This window comes from Homo sapiens, chromosome 4, assembly GCF_000001405.40.
Source record: "Homo sapiens chromosome 4, GRCh38.p14 Primary Assembly".
Classification (NCBI taxonomy): domain Eukaryota; kingdom Metazoa; phylum Chordata; class Mammalia; order Primates; family Hominidae; genus Homo; species Homo sapiens.
The window spans coordinates 102,622,751-102,644,909 of NC_000004.12; the positions used below are offsets into that span (position 1 = coordinate 102,622,751).

General features: G+C 41.3%; 1 protein-coding gene across 4 annotated transcripts in view, besides 2 other annotated features; it reads right to left on the minus strand.

Annotated features, from left to right (window-relative positions):
• The window catches only part of MANBA (mannosidase beta), a 130,199-nt gene continuing 116,059 nt past the window's right edge, over positions 8,020-22,159 (minus strand). For all 4 annotated transcript variants that reach the window (NM_005908.4, XM_047415692.1, XM_047415693.1 and 1 more), the window contains 4 exons: positions 16,963-17,107; positions 13,115-13,257; positions 12,038-12,295; positions 8,020-9,531 (listed from right to left, as the gene is read on the minus strand). In NM_005908.4, coding sequence (NP_005899.3) covers positions 9,307-9,531; positions 12,038-12,295; positions 13,115-13,257; positions 16,963-17,107 — 771 coding nt within the window. In that variant the 3' untranslated portion in view covers positions 8,020-9,306. The remainder of the gene's footprint in view (positions 9,532-12,037; positions 12,296-13,114; positions 13,258-16,962; positions 17,108-22,159) is intronic.
• Positions 14,873-15,373: an enhancer, noted in NCBI's record as "H3K27ac hESC enhancer chr4:103558780-103559280 (GRCh37/hg19 assembly coordinates)". NCBI's record gives its function as "activates a minimal SCP1, AML or CMV promoter by ChIP-STARR-seq in primed H9 embryonic stem cells {active_cell/tissue: H9 hESC(primed)}" and the evidence as "EXISTENCE:reporter gene assay evidence [ECO:0000049][PMID:30033119]".
• Positions 15,374-15,874: an enhancer, noted in NCBI's record as "H3K27ac hESC enhancer chr4:103559281-103559781 (GRCh37/hg19 assembly coordinates)". NCBI's record gives its function as "activates a minimal SCP1, AML or CMV promoter by ChIP-STARR-seq in primed H9 embryonic stem cells {active_cell/tissue: H9 hESC(primed)}" and the evidence as "EXISTENCE:reporter gene assay evidence [ECO:0000049][PMID:30033119]".

Below are 22,159 nucleotides of genomic sequence, written 5' to 3' on the forward strand. Positions count from 1 at the left end.
TTGCATTGTAAGCACAAAGTCACAGTTTTTCTTAAGGAAATCCTCAGAGATGATCAAGGATATGAGGGCAGGTAGGCTGGGGAAGAGGTATAGCAGCTATATCTTGTTGCCCTCGCACTGATTCACAGAGATCTCTGCTCTCCAACCTCTATGCTCCGTAGTTCCTTAAACGCTGCACAAGAAGTCCTGGGCTTGTAGACACCACAGTTAGCGTTCAAGAGGCCCTGGCCCTTTAAGATCCTACCCAAAAGAAAGGGACAAGCAAGTTTATCTTAGTTGTGTTCTGCAGAAAGCTGGAAAGACCTTGGCTCCCATTTTCTCAGATAAATTGGAAAGGAGCAGAAATTGGTTCTTGTGGAAATAATATTCTCTTCAGGCCAGAAGGATAGCAGATGAAACAAATTCTTGAAAACTTTTCTCCCAGGATTCCTTCTTGGGATCCAGGAAGCAGAGCTGGTGATGAAGATAGTGAGATGGAACCCTGAGGACTATGTTGGGGACACATCAGATCAGGGAAGGCTGTAAGTCGATGCCCAGTAGCAGACAACCAGGTTACTAGGTCTGTTCCCTGGCGAAAAGAGATCGATATTTTCTTCATTTCAAAACTGTTTCGCAGTTCCCTTTTTCCTTTTCCTAAAGCAATAATGCACAACTTATTTTTTGGCTTTAAAAAATTGAATGAAAAACTTCATGTCGTGGGTTTTTTTTTTTTTTACATTTCCAGCATCCCTTTTTATCACCTTATTCAAATGCAAATGTTCAAAAGTCTTTTGAAATAATTTTTTTCTGTAATTTTGAAAAAAATTCGCAAAATAAAAAACTTTAAATGTAAATGTTTTCATTTAGAAAATATTTTCAAGTACTGACTGTCATAGCAGCCTGAGAGGTGAACAGGGAGGGGTTTGAATTCCTGCCATTGTCCACAGGACAGAGTTGCTGATGTGCTGGAAGGCCCCTGGTCTAATGTAAAGAGCAAAGGCTGGGCCGGGACTCAGTCTTCAATCCCCATACTGTGCTCCTTGGCTTCACGCTGCAGCAGTGCGTCACGGAACACACAACTGTTTCAAAGGGGTGGGTCATGCCCAGGAAAGGGAAGAAGCTTGCCAACAGGGGGCTCTGAAGTATTATCCAAGGGTGGCCAAACAGCAGGAAGCCAGCATTCCCTCAACAAATGAACTCAGCTCCAGCACACATGATGCTTGGCACCGGTCCCCAAGAACAGGCCCAGGAAGAGGCCTTGAGTCCATGCTGACTTTCTTCCTCCTACCCACTCCTTCCAGCCCCACTCCTTTTGCTTTGGGGCCCTCAGAAGCTTTTTTTCTCCACCACTTGCTTCTTTCTGCCACTTCTTTGTGTCCCTTCACCTTCCCTCAACAATTCAAGCCAGGACCCCCAAAAAGCTATCCATGGGCCACCCACATTAATGCAGAATCCTGCCTCCCAGCTGAAGCAAAGCCTGGCCTAGGGAGGCCAAAGGGATCAGAAATGACATCCCCGTAAAGACCCATCGTAATCCCACAGACAGGTCCTGCTACAGGAGCAGGGCTGCCAAAAAGCAACATTCTTGTTCTCTTCCTTTAGGTCCTGAAGCTCCTGCCCCTCCACCACTGCTGCCAGCGACCACAGTAGCAGGGGGAATTTTACCTCCCCAGTATATGGAGACCATATATGCTCAGGAAGTGCATATATGCTCACAGATGAGCAAACCTCTCAGGCCTGATTGATGCAAGCAGTCCTTAGCATTCTTCTCCATCCCAGTTTTGATCTGGGAAGGTCAAAGCCACCATTTGGCCCCGCCTTCCTTTACTGCCTAGCCAAATGCACATCTTGAATGATGAGCAACATATGCACACAGCGTGTGGGCCAAGGACGATTTTGGTCCCTCCACCAGCAGAATGTAATTCCTTTCCCCAAATCACGCCCATAGCTCACAGTTTTGGCCCTTTCCTGATTGTTTTGTTACTAAGCCTTTAAATAGCTCATCTGACTTCTCCTCTGTCAATCATCTATTCAGGAGGCTTGGTACCAAGTTTTCATAGATCCATAGTAAGTAAATTTGAATTAAAAAGCATTTATATGCCACACTTTTGCCAAGGTAGCAACAGTGGATGGAAATGAAATACACATGCTTCTCCACTTACAATGGGGTTATGTCCTGATAAACCCATTATAAGTCAAAAGTGCACTTAATACCTTGATAAACCCATCATAAAGTCAAAAAGTCATAAAATCGTAAGTCAAACCATTGTTAAGTCTGGGACCTGTCTGTAACCAAAAGACAGGCAGAAAGTAGACAAATTTGCTCTGTGGATCTGAACCTTGTGATCCAGCTATGCTGGTGCTCAGCCTTTATTAGCCCTGGATCCATGGAAGAAACCAGAGCTCAGCAAACAGAGACGCCCTTTGGGTTCCTTCTTTCTCCTTCCACCCTTCCTCCTCACCTCCCTCCTTCCTCTTTCTCCCTTTCTCTCTCCCTGTGTCTATCTCTTCTCTCTCCTTTCCTTTCTCTCCTTTTCTCATTGTCTTCCTTTCTCTCCCTTCTACTTTTCTCTCTCCCCTCCGCTTTCTCTTTCTCTCTTTTCTCTCTCTCTTCCTTTCTCTTTCTCTCTCACCATTTCTTTCCTTTTCTCTCTCATTCTTCTTCTCTCCCTTCCTTTTTCCTTTCTCTTTCTCTCCTAGTCTCTTTCTCTCAACTCTTCTCTTTCTCTTTCTTTTTCTCTTTCTCTTTTTCTCTTTCTCCCACCTCTTTCCCCCTTCATCCCTCCCTTCTTTTCTTTCTCTTTATTTCCTTCTTTAAGGTACTTTCACATTCATGCATTCCTCTGGGGCACTGGCATCCAACTCCCTGAAGCCCAGAAGGTGAGGGGTTTGGGGAGCAGCCCTGCAAGTGTTTCCTTAGGCTCCCCTCGCCTCGCTGAAGGCAGCAAATGCCCTGTACTCTGGGGAAGCCTCCAGGAAGCCAGCACCCTGGCCCAGGGCAGTCCCTTCTGCACACCACTAGCCTCATTTCCTGAGCACAAGAGGCCTCTGCTGGAAGAAGCAGAACTTTGCACAATCATCCAACAGCTGGCTTGCCTATTGCTACTCAATTTTATTTTATTTTATTTTATTTTATTTTATTTTATTTTATTTTATTTTATTTTATTGCTTCTGTAAAATTGGAAAAACCTTACCAAAAAAAAGGAATTAGAAATTTCTTCAGCTTTCTGCCTGGATTTTTCTCCTTCAACTCAGTTCATGAAGCCTGTTGATTATTTTCCCTCAGTACAGAAGGCTTAAGTTGCTCTTTCCTTTTAGCAAGCGGAATCAAAGATTCTTAGGCCTGAACACTTCAGCCACCACCAGCCTTATCCTTTGAGGGATGATATTGATAAACCAACATTTATTGCATTTACTACATTTATATCTTTATTTTATTTAATCCTCACAGGAACACTGTGAGATAGTTATTACCATTAATCTCAACTTCAAGATAAGGAAACTGAGGCTTAGAGGTTAAGTGATTGGTCCAAGGCCAGTACCGGGAGGTTCAGTATCAGAGCATGAGCCCATAGCCCTTGCACCACATGCAGTCTTCACACTTACACACGCACGTGCATGCACACACAATTTGGATCTTTGACAAGGCAAAATTTCATTCATGTTTGTAAGTTGACTAGTTAAAAATCTTTTCATTCCAATACCAAAAATATGGGTAGGGAAGCATGCCAGTCACCCACTTTGGCTTGAGAGCTCATTGTAAAAGAGCAGGGGCCCTTCCTTCACCCACTTTGGCAATTTTTTTTTTTTTTTTGAGATGGAGTCTCGCTCTGTCGCCCAGGCTGGAGTGCAGTGGCGCCATCTCGGCTCATTGCAAGCTCCGCCTCCCGGGTTCACGCCATTCTCCTGCCTCAGCCTCCCGAGTAGCTGGGACTACAGGAGCCCGCCACCACGCACGGCTAATTTTTTGTATTTTTAGTAGAGACGAGGTTTCACCCTGTTAGCCAGGATGGTCTCGATCTCCTGACCTGATGATCCACCCGCCTCGGCCTCCCAAAGTGCAGGGATTACAGGCGTGAGTCACCGCTCCCAGCCCACTTCAGCAAATTATGTCCCCAACAGCCTTCCTCACTAGAGGCACCACTGCCACTGCAGCATCCCAGCACAAGGAAGTAGGTGACGCATCTCCCAACAGGACACCCAGGTGCCCACACTGCCCTCTCCAAGGCCCAGATATGTTTGACCTCAAAGACCCATGTCTTTATCCACGAGGATGCTTTTAATGATAAAATGAGAATGCCTGACTATAAGTGGGCTAAACAAATAAGGGCTTTAAAAAATACCATTACAAGATCAGCGATAGATACATCGATATTTTACATGGAATCTTTCCCTTTTTAAATGTTAGCATGTAATTCAACTTTTTAAAACACAGTCTAGACCATGACCTGCTGGTCAAATATGACCTAAATCTTCAGGATGACAAGGCAGGGTGCGGGGGGATCCAGGTCCTACCTGCTCCTCTCCCAGGCTCACTGCTGCCCCCGACACCTCCAGCTCTCCTGTCTGATGCTGTTCACAGCCACCACCCAATGCCTGCACACGTTCAGTTCTGCCCACCTCCCTAGATTTCTTCTGATGGCTTCACACAGAGGCAATGATGATTGTAATAGCTCACATTTGGTGGATAGTTATCATGTGCTATCAATAATCTGTGCATTATCTCCTTTATACCTCACAATTAACCTATGAAGCAGATACTGTTGTTATTGTTCCCATGTTTAAAGAAACTAAGGCACAGAAAGACTCAGTAGCCTGTATCCAATGAAGAACAGCCTGCTACTGGTGGATCTGGGACTGAAACACAAGTAAGTCCGATTTCAACGCCCACACCTTTAACTGCTGTATCAATTAGGATGCTTTGGGTTGTAAAATCAGAACACCTGACTACAAGATTAAACAATTAAGCCTTTATTTTTTACCACATTATAATAAGACCACAGTTAGATGGTTGCAGGGTTAATTTAGCAGCTAAACATCTCTGACACCCCCTGTCAAATATGTTTCTTTAAGATCACCAAAAAAAGGCTGCAGCAGCTCCAAGTGTCAGGCCCTCAAATAGCTTCTCAATTTTACCCAACAGCAGAGGGTTTTGCCTCAGGTCTATCCCTTATCAGGCAGGGAAACCTTCCCCCAGAAACCCCACATTAGACATCAACTTATGATTCATTCTTGAAATGTGTCATGGGCCTAACCCTACATCAATCACTGGCAATGGAGACTAGGATTAGAATAACAAATTATGATTCAGTCTCTGAGGCTGGACATGGCCACCTCTATTAGCAGAGAGGAGGAAGATCTGGCTGTGAGGTGGCCAGCCAACACTGTCTGCTCCAACTACTGGCAGTGGTCCAATAAATTTTACAAAACCAACAAAAAGTAACAGGAACAGAATCAGAACAAGGGGGTTGTTCCCACCTAAATTATGAGGCAGGGATGAGTGCTAGTTCTCAAACAGAAATTTTCGTGAGCCAGAATGTCTCATTTCCTGAGAGTTGTAGGTAACTTAGGTGTTACTATAATCATGTGTACTTGATCACTGCATAGCATGATGTGGCACACAGGGGAGCTCAATAAATCTTGTTTAAAGACAGAGACCAACCTAAGGGGTTAAGCAAACTTTTCTTTCATGGCAGGATTCAGTAACCCGTGTCTACAGAAATAAGGAGAGATATTTATAAGGAGAGATATTTATAAAACACGAAACAGTGATGCATTGGTCTTATCTTTGCTAAGTTCATTCACTGTTTGGCCCCACACAAGGACTTAAAGATGTCTTGGCAGGTTAGTTCACCCCCAGCTTGTAGATCACAGGCTCAGAGCCCCAACTACATAACCAGCTGATTTTGTGCTTTTCTTTCCTTATGTATTAATTACAATGAAGGTCTTTAAAGACTCATTTCTCAACTGAAATTTTTTCACTTATTTTTTACCATATACTTTCCAAAAAGCTTCCCTGAAGTATTGAACAAGATGGTGCCTTATCTAACATTGCTCCCCTGTCGCCATCACATTAACCTTAAGGACTTATCGCCAGCTGGAATTGCCTCGTTCGCTGGTTTAATGATCCATGAGAACTAGGACTTGTCTGCCTTTTTCATTGCCATACCCCCAGTGACAAGGACAATACCTGCCCAGAGTGGTCTGCAGTACATGCTTGATAAATGAATGAATAAATCCTTAAGTTAAACAGTGTCTAGGGGCAGAATATAAACATGTCTTAAGACAACACCGGTTTTGCCAGTGATTTTAAGGTTTTGTATGCTACTCTGGTTCATGCCTCTGATAAATCAATTAGAAAACAAGAATTCTCCCATTCACTTGAAAATATTACTGTCTTTTCTGCATAACCCTTTTAATTGCATGTGCTTATTGAATTAATAAGATTGCATTCAGTCAAGGCAGACTCTGGGGATGTTTTCAAATGCTTTGAATTTCCCACACAGACAATGCCTACCTGCTTTTCTCCCTAAATCTTACCAAGCTGGGGAATAAGTTTCATATCTGAGAGCCAGAGGTAGCCCAAGAGAATATTCTTTCTATCTCAGGTCTTTGTCACTTTAGGAATGTTAGGGAAACATATCTTTATTTCTCCTGCACTCCAGTTCACCTTCATTCCAACAGAGAACAAAATCTTTCTATTTATTTTCCAAGTGACTTCTCATGGTGTGAAAATGTCTCACAATGAAAAGTGAAGTAAGGAAAAAAAGAGAATAAGAAGAGTTATCGTGAATGTGAATGAGAAAATTATGATTTTTATTGTTCTCTCTGTTCTGAAATGGGAAGATATAATCCTGGGAACTGACCTCTCTTCATCCCACTCTCTCTGGAATGTGCTTTGCAAGAGCATATGACAGTAAGACCTGGTTCTGGTCTTTTTATCCTATTGTTCACACAACTAAGGATATGGTTTAGATATATGTCCCCATCCAAATGTCATGTTGAAACGTAATCTCCAATGTTGAAAGCGGGGCCTGGTGGAAGGTGTCCGGATCATAGGCACGGATCCCCTTGGTGATAAATGAGCTCTTGCTCTGAGTTCACAGGCGATCTGGTGGTTTAAAAGTGTGCGGCACCTCCCACCCACTCTCTCTCGCTTGCTCCTGCTTTCGCCATATGACATGCTTGTCGCTGCTTCGCCTTCTGCCCTGACTGTAAACTTTCTAAGGCTTCATCAGAAGCCAAGCAGATGCCCGGTGCGATGCTTCCTGTACAACCTGCAGAACTGTGAGCCAATTAAACCGCTTTTCCTTATAAATTACCCAGTCTCAGGTACAGCAATGCAAGAATGGACAAATACAACCACTAACAGAAAAACCCTATCAGAAACTCAAAGTCAAGAGTAAGTGCATCAGACTGTATTCCTGCATGGCAAGATAAATCTATGAAAACAGTAAAAATGACTAACTGTGCTGCCACACAAGAACTGCGGAAGAATGTTTTGGCTACTATTATTCCTTAATAGGAATAATATGTATACGGCACATTTCTTTTCTTTTAGAAGTTGTTGTCAGCATATATTTATGTCCTTTAATTTATTCTTCCCTTACAAATTATTCTTTTCTGGTATTATTTTCAGAAAGAATTTGCTGAAGAACTTACTTACCATTTGCCTCTCTTCACTTCATTTTTACTATTGCTTTCTGTACTAACTGGATGATAATGAATGTGATGTTAAAAGTACAATCACCATTTACTTAGCATTTTAATTTGTTCCAGACCCTATTTGTTAAGTCCTCACACCTACCTTTGAAGGTGAGGGATCATTAGCTCCATTTTACAGAGGTGGAAACCACAGTTCAAAAGGTTGAATTGTTGCCCAAGGACACACAGTCAGAAGCTTCAGTACCTGGATTTGAATCTAGAGACTGCGGCTGGAAGCCTCACCCTCTCCAGGACACCGAGCTCAGGCCCAGGATGATGCTTCCATTACAGAGCGTCACTATGTGCCAATCTGGGGCCCAGCCCTTGAGCTAAATTATTTTATTTATTCTTCAAAACAAACTTACAAGGTGGGTGTTACCACTCCCATTTAGCCACAAGAAAACTGAGCACAGGAAGTTAAGTAACTTGATTAAGGTTACAGAACTAGTAAGGGCAAACTACAAAGTAAACTCTGGCTCATCAGCTTGAAAGCCCCTTCTCAGGGCCCCTGGCAGAACATGCACAGGTGTCAAGAAGAGCAGTCCTCCCTGCCTCGCAGCAATGCTTTGCTAAAACAGGATTTACAATAGTCATAAGAACATGACATAATATTTACCAAGTAAGACTCTACGGAGTCCCAGCCCTAAGTCCCCTTATCCCCTTGATAAGGCTTTGTGTGTGTGTGTGTGTGTGTGTGTGTGTGTGTGTGTGTGTGTGTGTACATATAAAATGAGGATACTCTTAGATACTGAAGAAGACTGGATTGTCTGTAGTTACTTTTAGAGTCACTGAACATAATGCTTCTCATTTTTAAAACCAAAACCACTAATAATATCTTAATTTTAAAGCCAAACACTCTTTGCTGGTCCATTCTATAACCAATTACATGACTGTTTCCAGAGAAAACCTTTCACATGTCTTAGTTTAGATTCTTCAAACTCTCCCAGTTTACCAAGCAGAATAATAACGAGAACTAAATGGAAATTAGGGTCCAGCACAGTATTGGGCAAAATTGAATATTTATAGAACGGTTAAATAAGCCACAGATGAAATATCAAGTTGTCAATGTAATTTATATAACTTTTATTTTTATATAATTTCACATGTACAGAAAAATACCCATATACCTTTACCCAAATAGCTACCACCAAGAAATCTCTGTTGTAACATTTCAATCGCCATTCCCTCTGAAATAATAACAAAGCACTTTATTTGAGTATTCCGTATTCCCCAAAGCTAGCTGTGAAAGACCTACATCACCTCAAAACCTTCCATTTGGTTCCATAGATCCTGCCATGTCACATTCTTGTAACCAGCTGCAGGGCCATCTTGTTATAACTGGTTCATGTCCTGCTAAAGCTGAGAGGTGAAGGGCTAAAAACACAGTCCTGGCACAGATTCCAGGACACCCCGGCACAGGCTTGTTTGAGGACATTGCCTGGGTAAACAGCCTCCCCTGAAAGTGTTCAGTGTACAACTCTTCACAGAGCAATCGCTCAAATGCGTGGCAGCACGCAGACATGTCTCTCGGCTTCTCTCCTTGTCTCTGTTGCCTTCCTCTCCAGTCGGTGCTTTAGAAATGCTTTATTCCCATTGTCCACTGAAAATACAACCTAGATTCCTTCAGTAAATATCTGTTAAGGAGGTCACATGAAAAGATTGCTCCAACTCATTCTTGCTGGTGGGCTCCCAAGGGTAAAATAATATAGTTCGTGTCTTCTCAGTCATGAGGAAACCATTGTCACTAAATCTCCCTGGGATGCTTCCTACATCCAACCAAACAAAGGGAGCGACAGCTGAGGTCTCCAGGTCAAAAACAAATATGTCACCTTGCTGAGAGATGATGGCCTGAAAAAGAAAAAAAAAAATGAATGAAGTGAAGGATGAGGGAAGAGTTATATAGTCTGTATACAGTTCCTGTAAACATTTATGTGGGCTTAACAAGGAGTCCACTTCCCACAACTTTGGTTCTACAACTGCTAAAGTGCAGTTTCAAACACAAAACAATACATGGAAAATGACTACAGGCTATGGAACGTTACCAAATTATAATCACAAATCAAGGAAATACATCGTCTCCAATCATTAAGGAGAATATTTCACAAGAAGCTCAAAGCTTTACATCTTTTACAGTTTTTCTCAGAGTATCATCAAGAGAGCAACATTTTTACATACAGCCTGGGTGGTTTTAATGACTTTCTAAGGATATATCTGGACCTAGCTACAGAGCCCAACTGTGGAGCTTACATTCAAGTCTCCTGAAAAGATCCAGCAATCTAGAAAGTCCACTGCCAGAAATTTACAAAAGCTCTACCATTAGAGCTTATCTCTTTTACTGCATAGTTAAGTAAAGTCACATTATTAGCATTTTTTTTACATGTGTGAATTCCACAAAATAGCAGCAAAAAGAGACAGTGCAATTTAAATCGTGTTGGCTCCATTCCTCTTAAGTAGCCGAATAGCATATGCCCAGAGTGAGGATGCGCTGCTCCCCAGAGTGGGAGGGTTTGCAAACCTCTCTTTGTGTGAGCACGGAGCTGAGTGCAACCTGGTTTCTTAATCTGTGCATTTGTCATGCAACATCTCAGTCTTACATTATATGTTATGTGTGACATAAAGAATTTCAAAGGGCCATTTTCACTATATATAATTTAGCCTTACATATTTGTGTAATATGTTATCATTCAGGGTTCTGAGTTATACACAAGGAAACCTATATTGATAGAAGCAGAAAAGAAGCTTAATAAAGCGTATCAGGTTGCTCTTCAGGATCAGAGACTCAGGCTTGAATTTGGATGGCAAATTCCCAGATCGCACCGCCCAGCTGTTCCAGTGAAGGTCCTAAAGCAGCCACAGGAACAAGGTTCATGCGGCTCATGCCAGCCTGCCCAGGAAGCTGCCAGGGTAGCATCAGCTTCTGCTGCTCCAAGACCAAGGCCGAAAGAGATGCTGGTGTCATGCTTATGCTGGTTATCTTCGTTGGATTGGAAATCTCCTCTCTGTATGTCTGACTGCAGAGCCTGGGATTCAAGCTTGCACCCTGGCTTCAGGGAGACAGGGAGAACAAGTTTCTGGCATCTCCCTTGAGAAAAGAAGCCAAATACCTAGTCTATATTAGCCCCGAATTAAACATTAACTAACAGTATTATTACTATCATTTTATCTCTTTAAGAAGGACAAGTCTCACTGAAATCAAAATGAGATAGAACAAAGAAAGAGCCCTGCTTTTCTCCCACCCCAATTACCCACCTCAAGGTAATGAAGGCCTAACTCAGGAAAGAAAAAAATTTGGTTTTCAAAATCATAAGTTTAGAGACTGAAAATTCATCCAGTACATAGTGGTTTTTTTTTTCTTTTTTGGAAAAAAATATATGTAAGACTGTCATTTTCTTCTGTTCTCTATTAGTTGTTACAGATAACTTGGATTTTATTATGTGACTATAGAAAGAAGGTATGTTTTCAGTTGTTAGGCTCTTTCAAATAAAACACAAGAATTAGGTGTTTTTATATGATTATTTCTAAATTAAATGTAGAAAATCCCTTTCTATGAAGTAAAAGTGTAAAACAAATTTAAAATTTTCTAAAAACAGAGAATGTAACTTTCTAGAAAGATATTTCCTGAGTGTCCAGAAGATAAGATAATAAAATTAAAAACATATATGTGTACATATATTTCCAACTGCTATGTGTAGGGGAGAAGGAAGGAAAGGTTTTCAACCTACTAGACAAATTCCAAATTCTCCAGCTGCACAATTTTTATAACAACACATCCTGATCATCCCATTTTTATATCTTGGCAATTATAAAAAGATTTGGTGATTGAGCTACTTTGAAGCAATAAATCAAAGAGACTAGAGTGAATATTAATAGACTCTACTTAAAATTAGACTGCGTCAGCTGGGCTCCAATGCTTCCCAGCTACAGGACCTCGAGCTCATCACTTAACCTCCTAAACTGGCTTCCAAACTTACAAAATGCAGATGATAATGCCTGGAGCTGTGGTGAAAGTCAGAGACTATGAGGTGAAGCACCTAGAACACAGCCTGGAACCTAGTGGGCATGCAGGCAGTGGTGATGACTCGAGCTTCCTCTCCCATCACTGCACCTGCCCACTAAGGAGGGGTGATGGGACAAACGAGTAGTGGTCACCAGCAACTCTGACAAATCCTGGATTCGAAATAGAAATCATTTGGTGTTTGCTTTTAGTGGGAAGAGGCCAATCTTCCCCCAGGCCTCAGGTAAACTCAGCACCAAGGGGGACACATGCAAATCTCAGGATGCAAGGAGCTGGCCCAAGAGCAGGAGAACCCCACAAGGCCACAGTCCCCTGCCCTCCGCCATGACCTGTGCTTACAGTGATCTGCGCCTTGCAGAGCCCCACGGCCTCCTTCGGTGAGGACAAGAAGTGGTAGTTGGTCGGGCTCAGGAGTTCATGGTCAGCTGAAAGGTAAAAGGAAACCACACAGCTTTCCCGTGTGCAATTCCCACATCTCCTCAGCAATTCAGACACTGGCTCCTCATAAAGGCAGACAGCCTCTCCTCCTTTCATCACAAAACGTTCAGTCACACGAGAGCACACGGGCTCCAGGGAGCTCCATGTATGGACTCTCACCTGGGGAGAAATAAAACAGAATAAAAACAGGCATTCTTGGTTGCTATGTTTTTAAGGAACAATAGTAGTAATAATTGCTGAAAGTCAGGTTAGCAGAAATGGTTAAGAGACTATGAAACCTGAGTTTTAATCCCAGTCCTGCAAAATACTAGCTATGTGACTAAGTAACTTCTCAGTCTTCATTTCTTCATATGTAGAATGAAAATAACAGCAGTAATGTCACAGGCTGTTGTGAGAATTTAAAAAATAATCCACGGAAGGCACAGTACCTGGTGCGTTGTAATTTTTCTGTAAATGTGACCTATTTTCAGTGTTATTAGTGTCCTCCAAACTATAGCCACCTAAGACTTTGAGTTTCTAGCCTTTCTTTTTACTTAAATTTGTTTTTTAAAACAAATTTGCTTTCCACATGCGCATTCTGAATAGTTTTACTGATTTTCACTATAACATGCCATTTTTAACCATTTCTTTTTATAAAGTTTGGACTATTTCCAGCCTCTCACAATTATAAATAACCTTGCATTTAAGGGGCACATTATAGCATATGTGATTTGCTTTCATCTAGTTATTTTATTTCCTACTCATAGAAATCCTGTAAGAAGAGAGACTGGTATCATTTTACTGAGAAGAAATTGAATCAACAAGATGTGAAGGGTTTTGCTTATGGTCACATGATTAATGGCAGGGTTGTAGCCTGAATATATGTATTCTAACTCTAAATTAATTTCTCTTTTATTTTCCCAAAAGAATGTAACCAAACAACTAAAGAAATCATCTAAAAGTCTCCTTCGATCTTAGAAAACAATCCAAGTAACTTACACTGAGTGTCATCGAATAATCCGAGTGAAGATCTGACACACCATAGATATAGAACGTGTTTTCATTCTCAAAGCCTACTGGCAACAGTGGAGCAAAGAAATTCTGAGCAAAGTAATGAAGCATTTTCCACTTTCCTCCGTACTCTGAAAATAATCAAGAGTGTCAGGAGACGGCAAGGTCAAGTAGTCAGAGAGGCACTGTCCAATGGCCCAGCTGTTTGTGGCTCATCGGGGTTCTAAGGGAGTGAGCATGTGAGGGAGAGTCAACAGTGGAGGGCACCCATGTTTGTGAAGCGCTCTGAGCACTCTGGACATTATGTCATGTCACCCTCACAACATCTGGGCAGGCACTAACGAACCAGGGCAGGCATTAACGAACCATGCTGTTAGGCAATTTCATCATTGTGTGATCATAGAGTGTACTTAAACAAACCAAGATGGTATAGCCTACTACACACCTAGACTATATGGTATAGCCTGTTGCTCCAGGCTACTAACCTGTACAGCATATTGCTGTGCTGAATACTGTAGGTAATTCTAATCATAGAAATGGGACAGTGAAAATACAGTATTATAATCTCATGGGACCACCATCATATATGAACTGTGTTGTTGACTGAAATGTTATACGGTGCATGACTGTATATAATAACTTATAGATTCTAGGTAGCTATTGATTGCTTTAATATATAACCATTTCGGGTGATAAGAGATAACAAATACCTCCCCTACTGCACGCACTAGAAGCAGTGGATTTATTGAGCCAATCAACATGGGGCTGTGAGGCCCCCAGAGCAGAAGCAGATATAGAAAACTTGTCACAGCTTCTCCCGGATAACCTTTTTGTCTAATAAGTACAAGGAGCTGGTGATCCTCCTCAGGCAGGCAGGATCCTGCCAGGGTTTAGAAAACAGCCAAGCTCTGGTACTTGGGTTTTCCTACTGTAATATTATTATATATACATATATAATTTTTCTTCTACAGTTAGATATGGTTTGGCTGTGCCCCTACCCAAATCTCATCTTGAATTGTAGCTCCCACAATTCCCATGTGTTGTAGGAGGGACCTGGTAGGAGGTAACTGAACCATGGGGGCAGGTCTTTCCTATGCTGTTCTTGTGATAGTGAATAAGTCTCACGAGATCTGATCGTTTTATAAAGAAGGAGTTTCCTGCACAAGTCCTCTCTTACCCACTGCCATGTAAGAAGTCCCTTTGCTCTTCCTTCGTCTTCTGCCATGATTGTGAGGTCTTCCCAGCCATGTGGAACTGTGAGTCCATTAAACCTCTTTTTCTTTACAAATTACCAGTCTCAGGTATGTCTTCATCAGCAGCATGAGAACAGACTAATACAGGTTCCTAGCTCACAACTACCATAGCCCTTGTTACAGACTCTTGTTATAATGTTGAGAAGCTTTAGGACTCAAAAGCAGGCCTCAGAAAACAGAATCTATCTCTCTGATCTCCTTCCCTCCTTTCACCAGCCCAAGGCAGGTCTCTAATCCGATTGTGGGTCATAAGACACTCATTCAGAAGGTGTCCTGCCTCATACCCTGGAGGAGGAAATGCTTCACAGAGAGGCCAAGAAGCTGAATGGACAGGCCTTGCTGTGTTTCCCCACTCAGTCTAATGGTATTAGATCATACCCGCTTTGTCCAATCACATTTCTACATGGTTATCAATCATGGCTGTCCAATGAAGTCTCCCTATAACGCCCAAGAGGACAGAGTTCAAAGAACTTCCACATAGCTGACCATGTGAAGGCTGACAGAAAGAGGAACAAGTATTCATCTACATGCCTGGAGGGTGGCACACCCCAGCCTCACAGGGATAAAGTTCCTGCACTCAGGACCCTTCCAGACTTCACCCCATATATCTCTTCATACGGCTGTTTATTTGTGTCTTTTAAAACATCCTCTGTAATACAGCAGTTAGAATGTTTCCTTGAGTTCTGTGAGCCATTCCAGCAAATTAAACCCAAAGAAGGGGTCATGGGAACCCCAGCTTGAAGCTGGTCAGTCAGAAGTTCTAGAGGCCCAGACTTGCGACTGCTGTCTAAAGAGGGAAGGCAGCTTTGTGGAACTGAGTTCTCAACCTATGGAATCTGATGCAATCTGCAGGTAGATAGTGTCAGACTTAAATTGGAGGGCACTCGCATGGTGTCCACTGCAGAAGTGATTGCTTGCTTGGTGTGTGGGGGAAGTTTCCCATATATTTGGTCACAGAAGTCTTCTGTGTGGATTGTTGTTGTGGAGTGAGGGAATTAACAAAGCACTTTTAGGCCAGGTGCGGTGGCTCATGCCTGTAATCCCAACACTTTGGGAAGCTGAGGAGGGTAGACTGCTTCAGACCAGGTGTTCAAGACCAGCCTGGGCAACATGGCAAAACCCTGTCTCCAGAAAAAAAATACAAAAATGAGCCAGGCATGGTGGTATGCAGCTATAGACCCAGGTACTCAGGAAGTTGAGGTGGGAGGAAGGCTTGAGCCTGTGGGGTGGAGGCTACAGTGAGCCATGATTGCACCACTGCACTCCAGCCTGGGCAAAAGCAGAGTGAGACCATCTCAACAAAAAAACAAAACAAAACAAAAAACCACTTAGAGTTTGAGTGTCTTGTTTCCCACAGACCTACTCTTCCTGAGGAACTCAGGAATAATCTGCATGGGATCACTTAAAGGAATATTTACAAAAATTGGGCTCTCCCATTTCTTGAATCGAACTCAGTTTCAGTCCACAACCTCATCCACAGACAGAAAGCAGGATCAGTATCCAAGAGTCTCTGAACAGTTATCTCTTTGCCTACCTTTCCAGCATCCCAGAAGGATTTTCCCCCCAATTCTACCCCTGATTCTCATTCAATGCTCTCTTATCTGGTTGGTGCTGATAAAGAGTTTGGTCAGAGAAATTTGATTAGAAATCCAATTCTCTGTAAGAGTCATCCATCTGGCACTAATGAAAACATGTTTGGAATGAATTTCTTTTGATCTGCATTCACAGCCAGTTTAAGAGCCTCACCCCTGCACTCTAGCCTGGGTGTCAGAACAAGACTCTGTCTCAAAAAAAACAAAAAGAACCTCACCCAACCTTTCTACTTTGTGGCCTTGCCTCGTTTTTGACCCCAAACTATTCTTTACATTATTAACTGAACTTTGTTTCAAGTCATCTCTAGTGAAGGGCAAAGACTATTATTCCTTAATTTTTTTTAATGTACCAGAATAGATGGGATAATTCGAACTGCAGGTTCCATGCCAGTCATCTCACCTGTTGCTAGTTGAACTGTTTCAACTGGTCACCTTTCCCATTCGGGATTCTGCCTCTACTAGCTTTTCCCCAAGAGCTAAACAGGGCATAATAAAGATGGCCTTAAGAGACATCTTCATTATGTCCTTAAAGGACATCTTTATTTGTCCTTAAAGGTGAATCAGAGAAAGGGAAACTTTAACACATAAGCGGGCCAAACTTCTACCTGATTGAATTCTCCAACACAGAAGAAGGGATGCTTAAGTTCATGCTTCTTTAGCCCTGGAATGCCCTCTTAAATAAATTCAAAATTCTATGCGTAATAACAAGACACATGGCTGAGACTTTTGTATAGGAATCTATCCCATGCTTAGCCTGCTGTTGCAACTTTGCACAGCACAGAACCCATAATTAGGTTGACCCTAAGGCTCATGGAAAGGCTACTAAGGTGAGTTGGGTGGCTGTAGTTCCTAGGCAGGCTTTTTAAAGAATGACTCTTTTGGTCATAGTTCTGCCTGGGCTAATCTGACCCCTCCAGCACTGTGCTTTCTCAGTCCCTCTCCCCACAGTGTTGCTTTCTCTCACTCGCACAAAGAACGCTGAAATGCTTACCAAGAGAAGCCCAGGAAGGAGCTTGCCAGATGTCATTCAACTGCCAATAAAGTGCCCCCATCGTGTGCCCTTGCTGATCCACTATCTCGCTGCGACTACGGCGGTAGAATTCAGTTTCTGTTTTGACACACTGGGCCTGCATCACCTGATTCAGGAAAACATTCATACACAGGTGTTATTGTTTGATGTAGACTGCCTAGATCTGAGAAAAATACAGGGTTTAGTTTTGTTTTGGGTTTTTTCTTTTTGGAGCAATTTGGATAAAATTAGGGAATTTAATTAGTATTAGGAATACATTATACTAGATCTGTAACTAGCCCCTTAGCATGAGAGAAGCTGTTGTCTGTAACAGTGGGTTTGTCTGGTAGACTTGGTGTTTCATTATGGTGACAATGGAAATAGGATGGTGTAAAAGGTTCTCTGCTAATGATAGTGTAGGCCGTAAAGAAAAACAAAGACTACTATTCCAGAGCAAATGCTATATATAGTCCAAAACTAGATTATTTTCACTGAAAAATTTTGCTAATACCTTCATAGCTATTTTTAAGAAAAACTTTTACTAGAAAAAATTCTATAAGAAAAATAACATTGTTATTATGAGTCTGATATTATCCAATCCCTAATTATTTTTTCTAGTCAAACAATTGTTTTGATGTCATGATTTTTGGTAATGTAAGATTTCTCATGAATGCAATTCCTTCGTTGTAGCAGAACAGATGGCAAATTGCAGCAATGAGACAAATGAATTTAGTTCTTGTTTAAGAGACACTAAAGAACTTCACACAGGACCCTTGATTACCGACACCATCATGGAAAAATCAGTCTCTTTTATCGCTGCCGTTACCGACACATATGAATCACATGCTCTTAGCCTGGAGTTGTGCTGAGGAGGGGCTCATGAATGGACCACTGAGGAGAACCCAGAGATGGTCAGAGCAGCGAGGATTTCAGAGAACAAGAAGGCCTTAGAATAGGGCTGGGGTTTTCACAGAGGAATAAAAAGAATGGTGCATATGGCCACCAAAAGACTAAGTCGAGACGCTTTCCCATAAAAGCAAAAAAGCTCAGATAAAGGTAGAACCTTTAAATAGAGGAAGGCTGACCAGTAAGGAAGTCATAGATGAGGTTATGACTTACATGAGTCACAGCCATCAAATTCCAGAACGGAAGCCAGAAGAAATTGTGGTCAGTCAATAAATATTTAATAAGAACCTGCAGGATATGTTACATACTGAGAATGGTGGGCACCCCTGCCAGAAAAAAATGATACAGCCCACCATATGGAGCTTATCAGCTTGTGTAGAAGACAGTCCTTCATCAAAGAATCACAGAAAGATACGTAATCATTAAACAGTACCAATGCTAAGTAGAAGAGGTATGCAATGTTACAAGCTCATATGGTGGGGCAATTGGGCAGAGCTGTAGAGTGAGGATTGGCCTAAAAGAAGAGGAATGGGAAAAAGAGAGAGGGCAGAACCTTCCAGAGAGGACAATACACCATTGGAGGAGGATGCCAGGTCAGCTAAGAACTGAAGGAAGGCCAAGAAGGCCTGAGCACAGGAAGCCGGGAGCAATGGAAGAGAAGCTGGTGAGAATTGCAGGGGCCAGACCCTGGAAGGCCACATGTTGAAGGTGTTGGTGTGCATCCTAAAGGCAAATGGAGGTCACAAAAGGCTTTTGAACTAAAGGGTGATGTGAGCAGATTTACATTTCCAAAAGATGACTGAGACTACTGAAGGAGGAAGGGCTTGCAAGGGGGCTAGAGTGGATTTAGGTAGACCATTTAGGCAAGAGATGGTTTTAGCTATGAGCAGACAAAGCAATGTCTTCTCATTCAGGAACCAGACCACTAGGACCACAGCAACAGTAGCTGGAAAAAATGTTCTAAAGCAAGAATCTCACAAAGCAAGCAGCATTGGTGCCACCTCAAAATGACCATGGCCCCTATAAACATTTGAGTTTTCAGTCTCTAAACTATATCAATTTTCAGCATTATCTGCAAGATATATTTATTTCTATATATCCATTCTAACATTAATCTCCTCACTATAAGTTATTTTTTCCTGGTTTAATAGGTAAAACTTATTAGTTCCTTAGAATTTTCAAAATTTGAAAAAATTTTAAATGCAAGTAGGATTCCTAACCCTCACTAGCAATGAAAAGAAAAGAGCACAAAGTGGCTCTATCTAGTAGCCTCTCTTACAGGAAATTAGCATGAAAGAGCATAACCAAGACTCTTTTGTGCTCCAGGCTCTGGCACAGTGCAGTACACTCCACACACAGATGGTACCATGCTAATAACATGGACCTGAATCTATCCAAACCAGTGGGTACCAGTCAAGGCTAATGAATGACACCTTTGTTCATAAAAATGCAGAAGGCTATTGCCCACTAAACTTCTTAAAGGGGTGTTGTACAATCCTAGTTCCCTGGAAAATCTCTAGAACTTCCCCTTCCCCTTTAAAAACTGTACCTATATTTACACATCCATGCATCCTTTCCTAAAAAGGGCAATCTTTACACATAAGAGGGATAAATGCTTAGTCATTTTCTAGGTTATCCAGTCCACTGTTAGCAGACAAATGAATTTTAGTTTTAAAAATATGCCTATTTGGCTGGGCGCGATAGCTCATGCCTGTAATCCCAGCACTTTGGGAGGCTGGGGTGGGTGAATCACGAGGTCAGGAGATGGAGATCATCCTGGCTAACACGGTGAAACCCCGTCTCTACTAAAAATACAAAAAATTAACCGGACGTGGTGGCACATGCCTGTAGTCCCAGCTACTCGGGAAGCTGAGGCAGGAGAATGGCTTGAACTTGGGAGGCAGAGGTTGCAGTGAGCCGAGATCAAGCCACTGCACTCCAGCCTGGACAACAGAGCGAGACTCTGTCTAAAAAAGAAGAAAAGAAAAAAATGCCTATTCTCAGCAGCTTGCTTGATTACACTTATGAAATGAGTCTCCTATGAGAGACAGATGGTATGGTGAGAAGAAATTGGATCAAGATACGAAGACCTAAGTTCCAGTTCCAGCACTGCCACTGGTGGTTGCTAGCTGTCTTCCAAAACCAATATCCCTTTCCTCCAGAGTGATGGAGTTGTAGCTGGACTACATTTTCCAGAAACACACCCCAACCCCTGGGACTTTGAGTAGCCATGTGACTAAGTTCCCTCAATATCTATATACTTTATTTACTAAAATTATCCCGACACTAAGAATCTTCCAACAAAGCTGTTTTAAAACCAAGATATAATTCACATACCATAAAATTCATCATTTTAGAGGTTATAATTCATTGGTTTTTAGCACAGTCATAAGGTTGCACAACTCTTTCCACTATCTAATTCCAGAATATTTTCATCACCCCAAAAAGAAACACCATACTGGGAAGCAGTCACTCCCCATCCTCCCCTCTCCCCGGCTTCTGGAAACCACTTAATCTACTTCCTCTGTTCTGGGATTTGCCTATTCCGGACATTTCACATAAATGGAATGATAAAATATGTGGCTTCTGTGACTGGCTTCCTTTTTATTTCTGAATAATATTTTATTGTATGGAGATGCTACATTTTGCTTGTCTATTCGTCAGCTGAAAAATTAGGTTATTTCCCCTTTTTGGCTACTATGAACAATGCTGCTATGAATCTGTGAACAGGTTTTTGCATGAACATATGCTTTCAATTTTCTTGAGTATATATACCTAAGAGTAAAATTGCTGGGTCATATGGCAAACTCTATGTCTAACTTTTTAAGGAATTAACAAACTGTTTACCGCAGCAGCTGAACTGTTTTACATTCCCACCAGCAACATATGAGGGTTCCAATTTCTCCACATCCTTGCCAATACTCATTATTTTCCTTTTTTAAAAATTTGTAGATATTGTAGTGGATATAACTGGTATCTCACTGTGGTTTTGATTTGCATTTCTCTAATAACTAATGATGTTGAGCATCTTTCTATGTGTTTACTGGTCATTTTCTTTAAAGAAGTGTTTATTCAAAGCCTTTACCAATTTTTCAATTGGGTTGTCTTTTTCACTATTGAGTTCTAAGAGTTCTTTATATATTCTGGATGCTGGATCCCTATCAGACATATGGTTTGTAAATTTTTTCTTTCATTCTGGGGATTATCTTTTCATTTTCTCGATAGCGTCTTTTGCCATACAAAAGGTATTTTTGTTTTCTGTTTTTGATGACATACAATTTGCCTATTTTTTCTTTGGTTAATTTCTTTGATGGCAAATTTAAGAAACTGTTGCCTAACCAAAAGCCATAAAATTTATACCTATGTTTCCTTCTAAGAGTTTTATAGTTTTAGCTATTACATATAGATCTTTGATCCATTTTGAGTTAATTTTTGTATATGGTATGAGGTAGTGGTCTGAATTTATTCTTTTGCATGTGGATATCCAATTGTTCCAGCACCACTTGTTGAAAACATGATTCTTCCTCCCATTTTATTCTTTTTACCATTTGGAATGTAAATTAGTACAGCCATTATGCAAAACAGTATGGAGGCTTCCCAAACTATTAAAAATAGAACTACTATATGATCCAGCAGTCCCACTACTGTGTATCTATCCAAAGGAAATGAAATCAGTATGTTGAAGAGATATCCACACTCCCATGTTCATTACAGCATTATTTACAATAGCCAAGATATGAAATCAACAGATGAGTACATAAAGAAAATGTGATACATATACACAATAGAATACGATCCAGCCTTAAAAATAAAGGAAATCCTGTCAGTTGTGACAACCTGGAAGAAACTGGAGGACATCATGTTAAGTGAAATAAGTCATGCACAGACAAACAAATACTACATGATCTCACGTATACATGGAATTGAAAAAAGTTAAACTCATAGAAGCACAGAGTAGAATGGTGGGCTGGATGGGGGAAAGAGGAAGTACCAAGGAGATGCTGGTCAATGAATACAAAATTTCAATTAGGAGAAATAAGTTCAAGAGATCTATTGTAAAACATGGTAACTATAATTAATAATGTATTGTATATTTGAAAATTGCTAACAGGGTAGATTTTAAGTGTTCTCACTACAAAAAAGATAAGTACGTGAAGCAATGCATATGTTTAACAGCTTGAATTAGCCATTCCATAATGTACACATATACCAAAACATCATGTTGTACACCACAAATATATATTTTTAATTTATCAATTAAAATAAAGAAATA